Here is a 17715-nt window from a genome sequence, read left to right as displayed (position 1 = left end):
GAAATGTACATGTAGTTTCACATAGGTGGTACTAAGATATGTGCAAGATCCTATGAGAAGTTAGTAATGGGTTTCACATGACTTTCTTAACAGTATTCTTCAACGAAAGCAGAGAGCATGACTTTAATACAGAGCTTAGACTGGGTGCAGTTGCTCACACCTGTAACCCAGCACTTTCGGAGGCCAGGGAGGGAGGATTGCTTGATGCCAGGAGTTCAAGATCAGCCTGGGCAGCATAGTGAGACCCTGTCTGTAAAAAAATTGACTTAGCCAGGCATGGTGGCACATGCCTGAAATCCCAGCTGCTCAAGAGGCTAAGGCAGGAGGATTGCTTGAGCCCAGGAGTTTGAGGTTACAGAGAGTAGTGATCACACCACTGCACTCCAGCCTGGGTGACAGGAGACCCTGTCAAAAAAAAAGAACATAAAAAAAGTAGGCTAGATATGGTGGCTTACGCCTTTAATCTCAGTACTTTGGGAGACCAAGGTGGGTGGATCACTTGAGGCTAGGAGTTTGAGACCAGCCTGGGCAATGTAGTGAGATCCCCATCTCTACAAAAGTAAAACATTAACCAGGTGTGGCAGCGTGTGCTTGTAGTCCCAGCTACTTGGGAGGCTGAGGTGGGAGCATTGCTTGAGCCTAGGAGGTCAAGGCTGCAATAAGCTATGCTCATGCCACCGAACTCCAGCCTGGGCTACAGAGCAAGACCCTGTCTCCATAATAATAATAATAATAATAACATGGTGCTTAATGAAGGCATTTCTTCAAGGACTTAAGATAACATGATCCAAGTATATAGCCTTTATCATCCAGCTTAATTCAAGGATTTTTACTACCTAGATATAGATAAGCACATACCTTCAGATAATTTTTCACCTATCACTTCTCTCAAATAGCCTTTTTTTTTTTTTTTTTTAAATCTGAGACGGAGTCTTGCTGTGTCACCCAGGCTGTAGTGCAGTGGTGTGATCTCAGCTCACTGCAACTTCTACATTGCAGATTCAAGCCATCCTCCTGCCTCAGCCTCCCAAGTAGCTGGGACTACAGGCATGCACCACCACGCCTGGCTAATTTTTGTATTTTTAGTAGAGATGGGATTTCGTCATGATGGCCAGGCTGGTAACTCCTGACTTCAAGTGTTACCCAGCCTCAACTAAGCTCTTAATAGGAGTAGATAACAGACAGTATTGAATTTTCTGGTAAGAGCCTGGGTTTTGTGAGTTGTTTATTGAATGGACTTCCCCATTGAACAACCTTTTTTTTTTTTTTTTTTTTTTAGGTGGAGTTTTGCTCTTGTTGCCCAGGCTGGAGTGCAATGGCGTGGTTTTGGGTCACTGCAATCTCCACCTCCCGGGTTCAAGCAGTTCTCCTGCCTCAGCCTCCCAAGTAGCTGGGATTACAGGTGCCCGCACCACACCCAGTTAATTTTTTGTATTTTTAATAGAGATGGGTTTTCACCATGTTGGTCAGGCTGGTCTCAAATTCCTGACCTCAGGTGATCCACCTGCCTCGGCCTCCCAAAGTGCTGGGATTACAGGCATGAGCTACCGTGCCTCGCCTGAACAACTTTTAAGAATGATTCTTTCTTTCCTTTTATTTCCATAGTGCCTGCCACATAGTATTACTCAGTAAATCTTTACTGAATGAATGGCTGTATATAATTAGATTCTGATGTGTTTTGGGATTGATGTTTGAAATGGGTTTTATGATATTGTATCAACTATATGGAAAATGATGGAACTTATTCTAGACCAGGATTTCTTAAAAGTGGCAATACTGACATTTGAGGCCAGATAATTCTTTGTTGTGAGGGGCTTTCCTCTGCACTGTAGAATGATTATTAGCAGTATCTCTGGCCTCTGTCTACCCACTGGATGCCAGTAGAACCCTCAGTTGTGACAACTAAAAATGTCTCTAGACATTGTCAAAGGTCCCCTGGGACAGGCGGCAAAATTGCTGTTACTTGAGAACCACTGATTTAGACCATGGATCCTCAGGGACAGGAAAGGGAGGGATTAGAACAGCTTCAGAATTGCATTTTCTGTATTTTTATGGTTCAGTTAAATGGTGAATGTTTAATTAGGTACTAAGAGAAATAAAATTGAAGTGCTGCCAATTCAAAGTGTAGCAAGGGGCCGGGCGTGGTGGCTCACGCTTGCAATCACAGCACTTTGGGAGGCTGAGGCGGGTGGATCACAAGTTGAGGAGTTTGAGACCAGCCGGCCAACATGGTGAAACCCCGTCTCCACTAAAAATACAAAGAATTAGCTGGGTGTAGTGGCGGGTACCTGTAATCCCAGCTACTCGAGAGGCTGAGGCAGGAGAATCGCTTGAACTTGGGAGGCGGAGGCTGCAGTGAGCCGAGATTGTGCCACTGCACTCCAGCCCAGGTGGCGGAGTGAGACTCCATCTCAAAAAAAAAAAAAAAAAAAAAAGGCGTAGCAAGGGAACAGGATGCAGGTGGTAGAAATTGAGTAAACTTATTGACTTTTTAAAATTAAAGACTATAACTGAAATGTTGATCTAAAGAAAATTAGGTATGACTAAGCAACTGAATAAATAATAATACTAAAGTGATCCCAACTATTGGAGCTTTTAGAAGACTATGTTCTACTTGGTTGCTTTTCTATAATGTAAGAGGAATACATAGAATATGAAATTGTTGCTTTTGGAAAATATACTTTTAAGATTATCTCAATGAAGAACTGATTTCTCCTGTAGCCTGGTTTTACTAATTTATAAGCAAAATGACTAAAGCTCAGGTATACTATGAAGTTAATTCTTTAATATTTCCCCTGCTAGGAACTCTGTATAGCTTCTGCAGACATGGGGTTTGATGATGTGATATAAGTAGATGTTTATATTTTACAATCCATGAAGGTAGTCTATACTGTGCTCTTAGAACAGCAGCCATCTAATGTCATTCTTAGTTGACAGGTAAACAGTATGTTACGTATGTAATGAGGTTCCACAAAGACAATAGTGTTTTGGAACACTGCAGAGGCAATAATTTGCATATTACCATCATTTTATAGTTATGAATCAGTGACTGTGATGTGTTTCCATTACCCCTATTTTTGAACAGGCGTTCTGTTAAAAGTATTCTATTCCTTTCTTAGATATGGGATGTTTAGGGGAGAGGGGACACATTACTTGTTTTCTTAGTTACAAGTCTCCATGTTGAGAGGAGTTACACTCAAGGATCTTCATCCACATGCACATCTGGTACAGATGACAAGATCCTGGACTTTAAGCCAATGATATGAGACAAAGCATTTTGGGGAGGGATGTAATTTGTTGTGGTCAGAGGGTGGCAAGAGAAACAAGTGACGGTGAAAAAATTCTGGCCTCGTGATTTTTCAGTAATAATTAAGAGCACAATATTACAACTGCAAGGGTGAAGGTATGTGGGCTGAGGGAAAGGGATAGTTTTGGAGGGTGCTATATTGAAGGCCCAGAAGAAGTAAACAAACTTGGAAAAAATTTACTCCACATTGCTAATGACAGCCTGTACTCTGTTTCTATAGCTTTACAACATTGATTATACAAGACAATGCAAAGGAGTTGAAATTAGATTTTTTTTTTTTTTTTTTTTTTTGAGACAGAGTCTCATTTTGTCATCCAGGCTGGAGTGCAGTGGTGTGATCATGGCTCAGTGAAGCCTTGATCTGGGCTCAAGTGATCCTCCTGCTTCAGCCTCCTGAGTAGCTGGGACTATAGGTGCGTGCTACCACCCCTGGACTCAAAATTCGATTTCAAAGATGGCATAAGCGTATTGATAGTGAAATGAGGAACGTGGTTTATTACTGTGGGAAAAGCTTGAGTTTAATGTAAGACAGACTTGGTTTAAAATTTATATTCTGCCACTTACTGATGTGTGAACTTGGGCAAGCTATTTAATACCAGCTGGATGGTCTCATAAATATTTTTATTTTTTATATATTGTTTTGGGAGTATGTCACAAATGTATTTTTTAGAATCCTTCAACTGTCAGTGGCTAGCTCTAATGTGAAAGGAGGTTAGCCTAGAATTTTCTCTGAGTGCCCGCCCTTCTGATGTTAAAAGTCTGAAGCCTACTTAGTAATAATGAGGTTTCAGCCCTTTTGCCTCTAGAGAGAATGAGCGACAGATAATGACAAATGAAAATAGCACTTTAGCTACATGGGAACATAATTTGTGTTCTTACTCCAAAAGCAATTTATGATCATTTTTAAAAATTAAGACTTTTTAAGAGCAGTTTTAGGTTCAAAGCAAAATTGAAACAAAGGTACAGAGATTTCCCATATACCCTCTGCCCCAACACAAGCATAGTCTTCTCTGTTATCAACATCCTCAATCAAAGTGGTACAATTTGTTGTAACTGATGAACTTACCTCATCAATTATTACCCAAAGTCCAATTACCACCCAAATTCCTCCTCATCTTTTCATGGCCTGATCTTTTTTTTTGAGACACAGTCTTGCTCTGTCACCCAGGTTGGAGTGCCATGGTGCCCTCTCAGCTCACTGCAAACTCCGCCTCCCAGGTTCAAGCAATTCTCCTGCCTCAGCCTCCTGAGTAGCTGGAATTACAGGCGTGAGCCACCGCGCCCAGCCAGCTCATTTCTTTTTAGCACTAAATAATGTCTATTGTCTGTATGTATCACAGTTTATTTATTCATTTACCTACTGAAGGACATATTGGTTGCTTCCAAGTTTGGGCAGTTATGAATAAAGCTGCTATAAACAACCATGTGCAAGTTTTTGTGTAGATAAGTTTTCAGCTCCTTTGGGTAGATACCAAGGAGTATAATTGCTAAATCATATGGTAAGAGGATGTTTAGTTTTGTGAGAAACTGCTAAACTCTTCCAAAGTGGCTGTACCATTTTGCATTCCTACCAGCAATGAATGACAGTTCCTGACCCACATCCTCACCAGCATTTGGTTTTGCCAGTGTTCTGGATTTTGGCCATTTTAATAGGTGTGCAGTGGTTGTATGTGTTTTAGAATGGAACAGAAAACACAAGATTGGCTTTGATATTTTGCAAGATAGAAATTCCATTCTGAACAACTGACTTACTGTTTATGCTTGAATCTTTTTTTGTTTTTTTTTTTTTTGGAGACAGAGTCTTGCTCTGTCACCCAGGCTGGAGTGCAGTGGCGTAATATCGACTCATCGCAACCTCCGCCTCCCAGGTTCAAGCGATTCTCATGCCTCAGCCTCCTTAGTAGCTGGGATTACAGGCATGCACCACCACGCCCAGTTCATTTTTGTATTTTTTAGTAGAGATGGGTTTTGCCATGTTGGCCAGGCTGGTCGTGAACTCCTGACCTCCGGTTATCTGCCCGCCTCAGCCTCCCAAAAGTGCTGGGATTACAGGTATGAGCCACCATGCCCGGCCTATGCTTGACTCTTTTATTAGTTGGAGCTGTTAATATTAATAACTTCACCAGGTCAGACAGGTTGAGTGGTAAGTTTGCTGATAGGTTTGATGGCTGCTTCTGAGACCCAGACCCAAAATCTAGGTTTAGCTACGTTAAGAAGGCAACCACTACAGATAAGTGTCCAATCATGAGATCTCTTAAAACAATGATGGAGTCCAACCCTGTTAGGAAAATCCTTTTGCTAGACAGAGAATCTCAGATCTCTTTCCTCCTGGTCATTATGTCTTGGGCTAAAAGGAGGACATTTAACATTTATTGTATGCCAAACAGTGCTAGGCCATTCCGCATGTTATCTTATTTAATCCTCATAATTTATCTATGAAATATTTTCTGTTGTCCCCATTTATAATTCCAAGTTGTTTTTTTTTAACCTTCCCAGACTTTATATCTGCTACCTCTCCGCCTAGAATAGTGTTATGCCTCCTTTTTGCATAATGAATGCCTACTTATTCCTCAGAGCTCATGTCAGATGGTACTATTTTAAGGAAGCCTTCCCAGTCCCCTAGGTTTGTTTCCCTATTAAACTGATCAAAGGCTTGATTCCCTGTTACACTTCACTGATCAAAGTGCACTGATCTCAATAGCACAAATAACAATGCGATTACTCATTTAATATCTGTCATTTCTGCTGAAGTGTAAGCTTCATGAGCACAGTAACTGTGCCTGTATCATTTTTCTATGTTACTTGTAGTGCCAACTATAGTTCCTTGTTCAGTAAGTAATTATTATATGATTATGGCAAATAAATTCCATAAACAGAAGTTGAACGCTGGTCCACTGTAACTTCAAAACCTTCCTTCAAATTATACCATGTGCAGGACCTAAGAAGTCGAGGAAGTATTTCTTAATAAAATTACTCCAGAGGCTCTTCCTGAACTCTATTTCAGTTCTAGGTTGGCTACCTAACGATAAAAGTTAAGCATTAATTTTATGTGGTTAGGGTGTGGTCTGAGATAGAGAACCTAAAGTCTTTAAAGTCTCCCCAGTTCCAAGTAGGTAATCCTTCTGAGAAGTCCCACCTTTCTGAGCAGCTGTGTTTGAAGAAAGCTAGTGGGAAAAGTTCCAGGATTACATGTCAGGAAACTACAAGAGGTAGAAACATTTGTTGATTTACCAGTGTTTTTAACTTCCTGCTGGGCTGAAAACTGCTTGTTTCGTGGAAAAGCAAAACTTGACAGCAAACATCTAAAATGAAGAGCTCCCAAACTTTTGAGGAACAAACGGAATGCATTGTGAACACTCTACTCATGGACTTCTTGAGCCCAACATTGCAGGTTGCCAGCCGGAACCTATGCTGTGTAGATGAAGTAGATTCAGGTAAGGTTCCTGCCCTAGGCGGTGATTGCAGGTCAATAAGAGTATGTTTTCAGCCGGGCGCAGTGACTGATTCCCGTAATCCCAGCACTTTGGGAGGCCAAGGTGGGTGGATCACCTGAAGTCAGGGGTTTGAGATCCGCCTGGCCAACGTGGTGAAACCCCATCTCTACTAAAAGTAGAAAAATTAGCCAGGTGTGGTGGCTCATGCCTGCAGTCCCAGCTACATGGGAGACTGAGGCATGAGAATTGCTTGAACCTGGGAGGCGGAGGTTGCAGTGAGCTGAGATCACGCCACTGCACTCCAGTCTGGGCGACAGAGACTCGGTCTCAAAAAAAAAAAAACAGTATATTTTATTTATTTCCTTTAAGTTTCAAAAGGCAAACTCTAAGCTTTCAGTAACACCTAAAGCGAAAGAGGTTCTCAATGAAGGGAAACTTTCTGACTATTGGTGTTGACAGAACATTTAAGCTCTTGGGAGATCATGATATGAAAATTATTTAAAAGACAAGACAAATTTTTCTCATTGCCCAGATTCCTGGGACTTGCCATTGCTTCAAGCATTGTAACAAATGTGTTCCCTCTGTCATAGGAGAGCCTTGTTCTTTTGATGTGGCTATCATTGCTGGTCGCCTTCGGATGTTGGGTGACCAGTTCAACGGAGAATTGGAAGCTTCTGCCAAAAACGTCATTGCAGAAACCATTAAGGGACAGGTCAAGTTTCTACTTCATGCTATTGTTTGCTGCTTTTTTTTCTATTTCAAACTTCCTTTTCTTACTACTCCCATACTACAGTGACTAGGAATGTTCTATGAAAATATTTGGGTGCTTATATTTCAAGGAAGTATAGCAAGAATTCTCCAATTGCTAAAACCTAAGTGGTACAGAGATGGAAAATTTTGGGCATAGGCTGATGAACCTTCAGTTTGTCTCTACTTGGTCTTCATCACAGCTGTTGTGCTTAGTGTGCACAGAGCACATTTATAACACTTTATTCTTGGCAAAGTATAGTATCTTTTTTTTTTTTTTTTTTTTCAGACAGGGTCTTACTGTGTCACCCAGGCTCAAGTGCAGTGGTGTGATCTCAGCTCACTGCAGCCTCCACCTCCTGGGCTCAAGCGATCCTCCCACTGCAGCCTCCTGAGTAGCTGGGACTTCAGGCAAGTGCTACCATGCCCATCTATTTTTTTTATTTTTTTATTTTTAGTAAAGATGGGTTTTTGCCATGTTGCCCGGGCTGGTCTTGAATGCCTAAGCTCAGGTGATCCACTCACCTCGGCCTCCCAAAGTGCTGGGATTATAGGCGTGAGCTACCACACCCAGCCTATGCTTTTTTTTTTTGAGATGGAGTCTCACTCTGTCACACCCAGGCTGGAGTGCAGTGGCGCGATCTCGGCTCACTGCAACCTCCACCCACCGGGTTCAAGCAATTCTCCTGCCTCAGCCTCCCAAGTACCTGGGACTACAGGGGTGAGCCACCGCGCCTGGCCCATCTGGGCGGATCACCTGAGGTCAGGAGTTCCAGACCAGCATGGCCAAAATGGTGAAACCCCGTCTCTACCTAAAAATACAAAAATTAGCCGGGCGGATCACTTGATGTGAGGAGTTCAACACCAGCCTGGCCAACATGGAGAATCCCTGTCTCTACCAAAAATACAAAACTTAGCTGGGTGTGATGGCCCATGCCTGTAATCCCAGCTACTTGAGAGACTGAGGCAGGAGAATCGCTTGAACCCGGGAGGTGGAGGTTGCAGCGAGCCAAGATCACACCACTGTTCTCCAGCCTTGGCGACAGAGCAAGACTCTGTCTCAAAAAAAGAACCACCCTCTTAACCGTTATGCTTTATTCGTCCTACTATACACAGCTTGGGCAGTGTGCCTACACTATGTTCAGGCAGAGCTGGACCTGTTACTCCCAGTTGCTTGCCCTGAGGCTGTCCTAGGTAGTTGATAGCTGAGTTGACTTTTTTTCTCATTAAACATATTTTTTTTTTTGGCTGGGTGCTGTGGCTCATGCCTGTAATCCCAGCACTTTGGGAGGCCGAGAGGGGCGGACTGCTTGAGGCCAGGAGTTTGAGACCAGCCTGGCCAACATAGTGAAACCCCATCTCTACTAATAATACAAAAATTAGTTGGGCATGGTGGCACACACCTGTAATCCCAGCTACTCGGGAGGCTGAGGTAGGAGAATTGCTTGAACCCAGGAGGCAGAAGGAGGTTGCAGTGAACTGAGATCTCGCCACTGCACTCCAACCTGGGCAACAGAGCGAGACCCTCTCTCAAAATAAATAAATAAATACAAATACAAAAATTAGCCAGGCATGGTGGCACACAACTGTAATCCTAGCTACCTGGGAGGCTGAGACAGGAGAATTGCTTGACAGGGAGGGGGAGTTTGCAGTGAGCCGAGATGGTGCCATTGTACTCCAATCTGGGCGACAGAGCAAGACTCTGTCTCCAAAAAAAAAACATAAATAAATAAATAAATAATTTGACTTGAACTTGTTTTAATAAAAAAAAATATATTTTGAAACAGCCCTAAACTCAGGGAAAGGTTGCAAGGATAGTACAAATAATTTCTCTCTTGAATCATTTGACAGTAAGGAGTTGACATATTTCATCAACCCCTAATACTTTTATACTTCCCTCAAACAAGAACATTCTGTAATGTAACCACAATCTAACCATCAAAACCAGGAAATTAACATTGATTCATTATCATCTAATCCTTAGATCTCATTCAAGTTTTGCCATTTGTCCCGATAATGTAATTTATAGTAAAAAGTTGTAGGCCAGAATCACATACTGCATTTAGTTGTGATTTCTCTTTAGTTTCCTTCAATCTGGAATTTTTCCTTAGTCTTTCCTTGATTTTCATGACCTTGACACTTGAAGACTATGGTCTATCTTGTTGAATGTCCCTTAACTGGGGTTTGCTTGATGTTTCTTCTTGAATAAATTAAGGATATATACCTTTGGCAGGAATATCACAGAAGTATTGCTGTGTTCTCAGTGCATTGCATCAATTGGCACAAGATTTCATTTTATACCAGTATTGATGTTGTTAACTTTAATCACTTAAGATGGTGTCTGTAAAGCTTCTCCTCTATAAAGTTACTCTTTTCCCCTTTGTAATTAATAAGTGTTTTATGGAGAGGTACTTTGAAACTATGTAAATATCCCACATCTCATCAAAATTTCATTGCATTCATTTCTTATCAGCATTGGACCCATGAATTCCTACTTTATTCTGTGGATTATAATCTGTTAACATCATTATTAATTTAGATGCTCAAATCATCCTAGTTTTAGCTAGTGGGAGTCCTTTCACTCTAGACTGCATCTCTTTGATGTGTCTCTATTATTATTTGAGTACTTCCTTAATTTCTGACAGAATATCTTATACTTCCCTAGCCCCAAACTGAAATCAACCATTCTCCAGAGAGCTCTGGTTTCTTTTATTTTTTGAGACGGGGTCTCACTCTGTTGTCCAGGCTGGAGTGCAGTGGCACGATCTCCGCTCACTGCAACCCCTGCCTCTCGGATTCAAGCAATTCTTCTGCCTCAGCCTCCTGAGTAGCTGGGACTACAGGCACACACTGCCACGCCTGGCTAATTTTTTTTTTTTTTTTGTATTTTAGTAGAGACGGGGTTTTACCATGTTGCTCAGGCTGGTCGCGAACTCCTGAGCTCAGGCAATCCGCCCACCTTGGCCTCCCAAAGTGCTAGGATTACAGGTGTGAGCCACCGCCCGCCTTTTTTTTTTTTTGAGACGGAGTCTTGCGCTGTCGCCCAGGCAGGAGAGCAATGGCGCAATCTCGGCTCTCTTCAACCTCTGCCTCCCCGGTTCACCTGATTCTCCTGCCTCAGCCTCCTGAGTAGCTGGGATTACAGGTGCATACCACCACACCCAGCTAATTTTTTGTATTTTTAGTAGAGACGGGGTTTCACTATGTTGGCCAGACTGGTCTTGAACTCCTGACCTCGTGATCTGCCTGCTTTGGCCTCCCAAAGTACTGGGATTACAGGCCTGAGCCACTGCGCCCGGCCTCTGGTTTCTTTTAATGGAGAATGATATTTAGAAATCAAGATCTAGGTGCTCTCCCACATGGATGTCCTTTTCAGCTTGTTTGGGCTCTGATATTCAGCTCTGACCACCCTTGGCCCCCCTAAATCCCCACAGATCTTGCTTGGACCCACCTAATGGATTTTAGATTCCATTTTTGAAAAAGAAAGAGGAAAAGGAAGAGCTACTCAATTATTTTAATGAATTATTATTATTTTATTATTAATTCTAATTAACTACTATTTTTGAGACAGTCTTTCTCTGTTGCCTAGGCTGGAGTGTAGTGGCTCAATGATAGCTCACTCTAGCCTCAATCTCATAGGCTTAAGTGATCCTCCAACCTCAGCCTCATAAGTAGTTGGGACTACAGGCATGTGCTACCATGCCTAGCTACTTTTTAAAATTTTTCATAGAGACAGGGTCTCAATATGTTGCCCAGGCTAGTCTTGAACTCCTGACCTCATGTGATCCTCCCACTTTCGCCTCCCAAAGTGTTGGGATTACGGGTGTGAACCACTGCATTCGGTCTTTTTTTTATTTGAGATGGAGTCTCGCTCTGTCGCCCAGGCTGGAGTGCAGTGGCGTGATCTCGGCTCACTTCAACCTTCGCCTCCCAGGTTCAAGTGATGCTGCTGCCTCAGCCTCCTGAGTAGCTGGGATTACAGGCCTGTACCACCATGCCTGGCTAATTTTTGTATTTTTAGTAGAGACAGGGTTTCAGCATGTTGGCCAGGCTGGTCTTGAACTCCTGACCTCAGGTGATCTCCCAGTCTCAGCCTCCCAAAGTGCTGGGATTACAGGCATGAGCCACTGCCCCCGGCCTTTACTTTAGAGTCTCCCAGACATTTCCTAGTCATTCAAGCAATACCTTTACAATTTAACCAGCTGGACTATCACATACTTAATATTTTTCTTTCAAATCATTTTTCATTCATTTTGTTTAACCTAAGCAATAATACCTGAAGTCATGGGTTTGATGGACTACTTATGTATTTTCAAGTGCCCATTAAGATAACAAAATATTAAAATGAGAAAAGATTATTCATCTACTCTCTAAGATTTCCTTAGTTACCACCAGTTGCACATTTGGCACTCTAAGAAACAATTGCTTTACTGGATTCCTGCACCTGCAGCCTCCTGCACTTTTTGAGTGATACTCTGTTGATGTTTCCTTTGTCTTTCCTCAGACAGGAGCTATACTCCAGGACACTGTGGAATCTCTCAGCAAGACCTGGTGTGCTCAGGATTCCAGCTTAGCTTATGAGAGAGCTTTTCTGGCAGTGTCAGTGAAACTTCTTGAGTACATGGCTCACATTGCTCCTGAAGTAGTGGGACAGGTGGCTATCCCCATGACGGGTATGATCAATGGGAACCAAGCCATCCGGGAGTTCATCCAGGGCCAGGGAGGTTGGGTAAGTTTGTTGGGGCTCCTGGTTTTGCTAGGTATTTGCACTGTTTTTGTACTAATACCTGGGATTCCAATTCATGACCCTTTTTGTAAATTGGAAACCAACAGGAAAACAGGCTTCCCTATTTTGCTGAAAATGCCTAGATTTTCTTGCCATGGAAAAATGGAGCAGACAGAAGCTCAGCCTGTGGATGTTGGACTCGAGTCATGCTACCTTAAATATTGACTGCTGACTACTGTAAAGCTAATCTTCATTTCCTACACATAATCATCTATAAAGTATATTCATGATAGAGTTCTAATTTCAGCCTGGCTTCACTCCGTTCCTTTGTAAATTTCTGGGTCTTTTTTTCCTAACTTCTCTATGTGTGTGTTAGGGAAGTCAGAATCACCTTAATAGTATCTAAGAAAAAACAGTCTTTGCTGTAGTGGTAACTATATAAGGTATTCTAAGCCCATGTTTTAGTAATCATCAGAACTTATGCTGTCATAGAGCACTCCTTTCCATTTACAGGGTCAGTGAAAGCCTTAATAAGAGCTACATTTCCTGGAGCTATCTGCAGATCATTTCCTGGTTTCTTAGGAAGTTCCTGAAAGCAATTCCTTTGACTGTAGGATTTTCTCTGTCTTCCCTAGGAAAATCTGGAGAGCTGAAGAGTTGGAGCTATTCACGAGACTGAACATCACTTCCTTGTTGACTGATTGGGTGATTGATTCCTGGGAATTCAAACAAACAAATAAAAAAGCACTTTTTTCATTTTATCAGAACTGAACTTAGCTGAATAAGTTATTTTTTACTGATTGTTAAAGTTGGGAGCAGCTGCCAGAGGCCTGCAGAGTTGGTTTTTGTTTTGTTTTGTTTTGTCAACTTAATGCAAACCACAGAGATTTTCTACTTTCTGTTTTCACATGAGTTTTAATGAGGTTCTGTTGAAGCAAAGACCCCTAGACACAAAGTAATGACTTGTTAGTAGTGGAATTATAAGCAACAGGGCAGGCCTTTGCTGGAGGTATTTTGAGAGAAAGGGAGAACAATGGAAACTATTTCTTCAGATGTAGCCCTGTCTTTTGGTAAGAATTGTGCCTACTAATTTTGCAATTTAAAGGATTTCAGGAAGCTTTTTGGTTGAAAAATCTTGTTTTTTTTTTTTTAGACGTAGTCTCACTCTGTCACCCAGGCTGGAGTGCAGTGGTGCGATCTCAGCTCACTGCAAGCTCCACCTCCCGGTTTCACTCCATTCTCCTGCCTCAGCCTCCTGAGTAGCTGGGACTACAGGAGCCCGCCATCACGCCCGGCTAATTTTTTGTATTTTTAGTAGAGATGAGGTTTCGCCGTGTTAGCCAGGATGGTCTGGATCTCCTGACCTCGTGATTCGCCCGCCTTGGCCTCCCAAAGTGCTGGGATTACAGGCGTGAGCCACCACGCCCGGCCTAAAATCTTGTTATTTTAAGTTGAGCATTTTCATTCAAAATCATCCCTAAACTTCATGTTAATTTCACCTGAGAAGGACTATTTTATGCATTTTAGAGGTTGGAAGCAAAAAACAAACAAACAAACAAAAACAGTTGTTTCTACTAGGAAGGTCAAAGAAAATAAAAGTTACTCCATTTTTACTGCCACAGGATGCAGGAAGTGCTGGCCCACATCTAGGACAGCAAGGCCACCCCAGCTTAGATGAAGCTAGCTGCATAACACAAAGCTTTAAAAGTGTGGTTCACACACCACTTGTGGACCTTATTGAATTGCTGATTCGCATTCCTAGAGATTCTGATTCTGTAGGGGTAGGCTGGAGCCTAGGAACCTACCTTTTAAACTAGTTCCATAGGTGATTCTGATGTACATATAGAGTGTGACAGCCATCACTATAGAGAATAGATTGATAAATTACAACCCACGCGTCAAATCTGGCTTGCTGTCTTATTTTGTAAATAAAGTTTTATTGGAATAGAGCAACATTCACTTGTTTACATATTGTCCATGGCCGCTTTTGTGCTACAATGGCAGAGTTGAATGATTATAGAAGACCATATGGCTGGTTAAGTCCAAAATATTTACTAGCTGGCCCTTTACAGAAAAAGTTGGCTGACCCCTTCTCTAAATCAACATTTCTCCTTGGTAACTGAAACTCTATTACAGTCCTGACAATTCCAGCAAACACAGCTGTAGATAGGGTTTAAACTCAAAGATATTTAACTCTTCTTTGGGAACTTAGTCTCCATATGTTTGTTAGTTCTTGCATAATCCACAGTTTCTCTGGGTCTTCAGCCAATCAGAGAGCTCTGTAGCTCCTGAGTAGTCCATTTCTCTGGCCCTACAAGTGAGAGTGATTGGAAGCAAAGCTTATGATTTGTATGATCTTGTATCTCAAAATAGTCCTTAATGATCTAATAGATTAGTAGGCAGTCATCAGGTAGAGACTCCAAAAACCAGACTACTTTCCTAAATATCAAGAAGAAAGGCATTGCTACAGTGATTCATGAAAAGCAGCATTAATAACTTTGGCTAAAGTTTAACAAAGCTAACCACTTCCCCTCTATCAGCCAGCCATCTATGTATCTCCTCTAAATGCAGAGAAGTAAATATGTAGTGCTGTTAATACATTTTTGCTTTTTAAAGTTATGCTTTGTCCTGGCGCAGTGGCTCATGCCTGTAATCCCAGCACTTTGGGAGGCCAAGGCGGGTGGATCACCTGAGGTTAGGAGTTTGAGACCAGCCTGGCCAACATGGTGAAACCCTGTCTCTGCTAAAAATACAAAAAATTAGCCAGGCTTGGTGGCACGTGCCTGTAATGCCAGCTACTCAGGAGGCTGAGGCAGGAGAATCACTTGAACCTGGGAGGCGGAGGTTGCTGTGAGCTGAGTTCGCGCCATTGCACTCCAGCCTGGGCTACAAAAGCGAAACTGTCTAAAAAAAAAAAAAGAAAATAAATAAAGTTATGCTTTTTCCTCTATTCCTAGTTAAATCACAACAAGTTAGTAATCCATAAATGATGTGTCCTGTTTCTCTTTAGTAGAAATTATATTTTTGGCTACCAGTTAAGAAACTTGTACTCCTTTGTCCCTTATGTTACTATAAACTCAAGATGATGAGTTTTGTGGTATTTGACTTCATAGGCAAAATCAAAATTTTTACTTTGTTGCTATTCTGTTTTATGAAATAAACTTCTGTCTATGCATTTGAACTAAGTTTCAGCAAATTCAATCTAAATTGAATAATTCCAGCTCCCAGTTTTATCCTATGTTGCTCATAAAACAGTTCCAAGTATACTGCATTATCTTGAGATTTGAAGATATGGTGCCCACGGGGATTATACTAGGCAAATGCGTTAAGCAGCTCTGGCCTAGGTGTTGTGTATTTTAAGAGACTCTATCTTAGGAGAGCTTAAGTGATTGGGCTGCAGGAAGAAGACATTGTAACCCAGGAATTAAAAATGGATTCAGATTGCCTGATTTTAACACTTTAGTTTCACCATAGGCTAATTATGTGACATTGGGCAAGAGACATAATTCTTCTGTACCTTAGTTTCTACATTTGTAAAATAGAGATGATTTGGTAACTTATTAATAAGATTTTTGTGAGAGATAAATAAAACAAATACATTTTGTAAAGGGTGAGTACTTGGAATATTTTAAACACTGTGCCATTAGCAATTTGGAATTCTGTGTTATGCAGTTCATAAGGTTCTAGCTTGACTTTTTTCTCTCTCCATTAACCCTGTCTCTCACAGATGCAAACCACTCTTAATGGCTTTACTTTCACATCAATGTGAGTGATTCCTAAATATGATTTATTTCCCTTCTCAATTCCATACCCACAGATGCTTATTATTTATTTATGTGTACCTTTCTTATCCCCATACTCTCCCTGTTTGCGATACAACTAGCTCAAAACCTCAGTCATTTTTACCTTGTCTCTCTCTCTCCAGTCCAACTCACCCAACTAGTTTTTCTCATTTGTTACTTCATTTTTGTCCTGGTTCTTCTACCAGATTTATTAGCAACTGCCTGGACTATTAATAAAGCCTCCTACTTAGGCTTTCAATAGATTGTTCTGTTCCTGCTCCATTCCAGTCTGTCCTATATACTGCCATCAGATTGATCAAAGCTGTGGTTTCTTTGTCTATTATTTTGATTCATTTTTAGATATGGTATCATTCATTTTTAAATTTAACATACCAATGAAGATTACAAGACTTAAACATCTTATCAGAAGGGGGCATTTATTTTTTAAATCAAGAAATAACTTTCCAAAAGCATTGCTTTGAATGCCATTCTCTTAAAGTCCTTCAGTGGAACTTTTGAGTGTGATTAGACATGTTCATTATCTTGATTGTAGTGATTTTATGGGTGATGATTTCACACCAACTTATCAAACTGCATACTTTGAAATGTGTAGTTTATTGTACATCAGCACTACCTTAATAAGGTTGTTTTTTTTAAAAAAAAAAAAAAAACCTTCAGCTGCTCCCTACTGTTCATCAAATAACAGTCTGATATTCAAATTCCCCCAGTATCTGGCCCTAACTGCCCTATATAGCCTTAATCAATCATGATTCTCCTCTACAATCCCAATGCTCTAGTATAACCGAGCCAGTCACTAAAGCTGCCCTCCTCCTACTGTTCCCTATGTTTCATATTCCTTTTTCTGAGGCTCTACCTGTAGACATCTTCAAGACCCAACCCAACTGTCATGAAGCCTTCTCCATGAAGGCTATCCATATAACCAGAATAAGAAGTGGTCTTTGCCTCCTTGAACTTTTGTTTGTACCACTTTTATGTTTCTTATCCAAAAAATGGCCTTAAGTTGTAATTATCTGTATAGTCATCTTCCCCACTAGGATAAAGGATTGCTGAATGATACAATTTGTTGTATACTTCTGTAACACCCCTCCTCTTCATTATCTGGCATGTACATCGATATTAAAAATATTCATTAAATGAATGAATAGCTGATTGACTCAGATGAGACTTCAAGTTTGATTATATTTGAAAAGGATGCTAAGCTTTAAGAGTCCTGATGCTCTTTATTTTAAAAAAAAAATGCTTCAGGCTGGGCTCGGTGGCTCACGCCTGTAATCTCAGCACTTTTGGGAGGCCAAGGCGGGTGGATCACCTGAGGTCAGGAGTTCAAGACCAGCTTGGCCAACATGGTGAAACCCCATCTCTACTAATAATACAAAAATTAGCTGGGCGTGGTGGCACATGCCTGTCATCCCAGCCACTCAGGAGGCTGACGCAGAAGAATTGCTTGAACCCAGGAGGCGGAGGTTGCAGTGAGCCGAGATAGCACCATTGCACACCAGCCTGGGTGACAACAGCAAAACTCTGTCTCCAAAAAAAAAAAAAAAACTTCAATTGCAAGTTATTGGTTGACCTTTGCTTCTTGAGGATTTTGAAACCAAAGGCAGAGTATGCTTCCCTGTGTAGTGGGAGGTTGACTATGAAGTCTGCAGCAGGTGAACTGAAGGACTTAGTGAAGTCTCAGAATGCTGTAGTGACAAG

At 41.5% G+C, this 17715-nt stretch overlaps 1 protein-coding gene and 1 long non-coding RNA gene across 3 annotated transcripts in view; one reads left to right on the top strand and one right to left on the bottom strand.

The window, feature by feature from the left end:
* AP4B1-AS1 (AP4B1 antisense RNA 1) overlaps positions 1-17715 on the bottom strand; it is an 88626-nt gene that overhangs the window by 7248 nt on the left and 63663 nt on the right. The window lies entirely within an intron of this gene.
* On the top strand, positions 6409-17174 carry BCL2L15 (BCL2 like 15). Its single transcript, NM_001010922.3, has 4 exons — positions 6409-6741; positions 7332-7453; positions 11993-12217; positions 12850-17174. Exons 1-4 carry the CDS (start codon positions 6615-6617, stop codon positions 12865-12867), a joined length of 492 nt encoding a protein of 163 aa, NP_001010922.1. The 5' UTR covers positions 6409-6614; the 3' UTR covers positions 12868-17174.

This window comes from Homo sapiens, chromosome 1 (assembly GCF_000001405.40).
Source record: "Homo sapiens chromosome 1, GRCh38.p14 Primary Assembly".
Classification (NCBI taxonomy): Eukaryota; Metazoa; Chordata; class Mammalia; order Primates; family Hominidae; genus Homo; species Homo sapiens.
The sequence above is the reverse complement of the archived record's forward strand: the minus strand, read 5'-3'. Positions and strand labels throughout refer to the sequence as shown.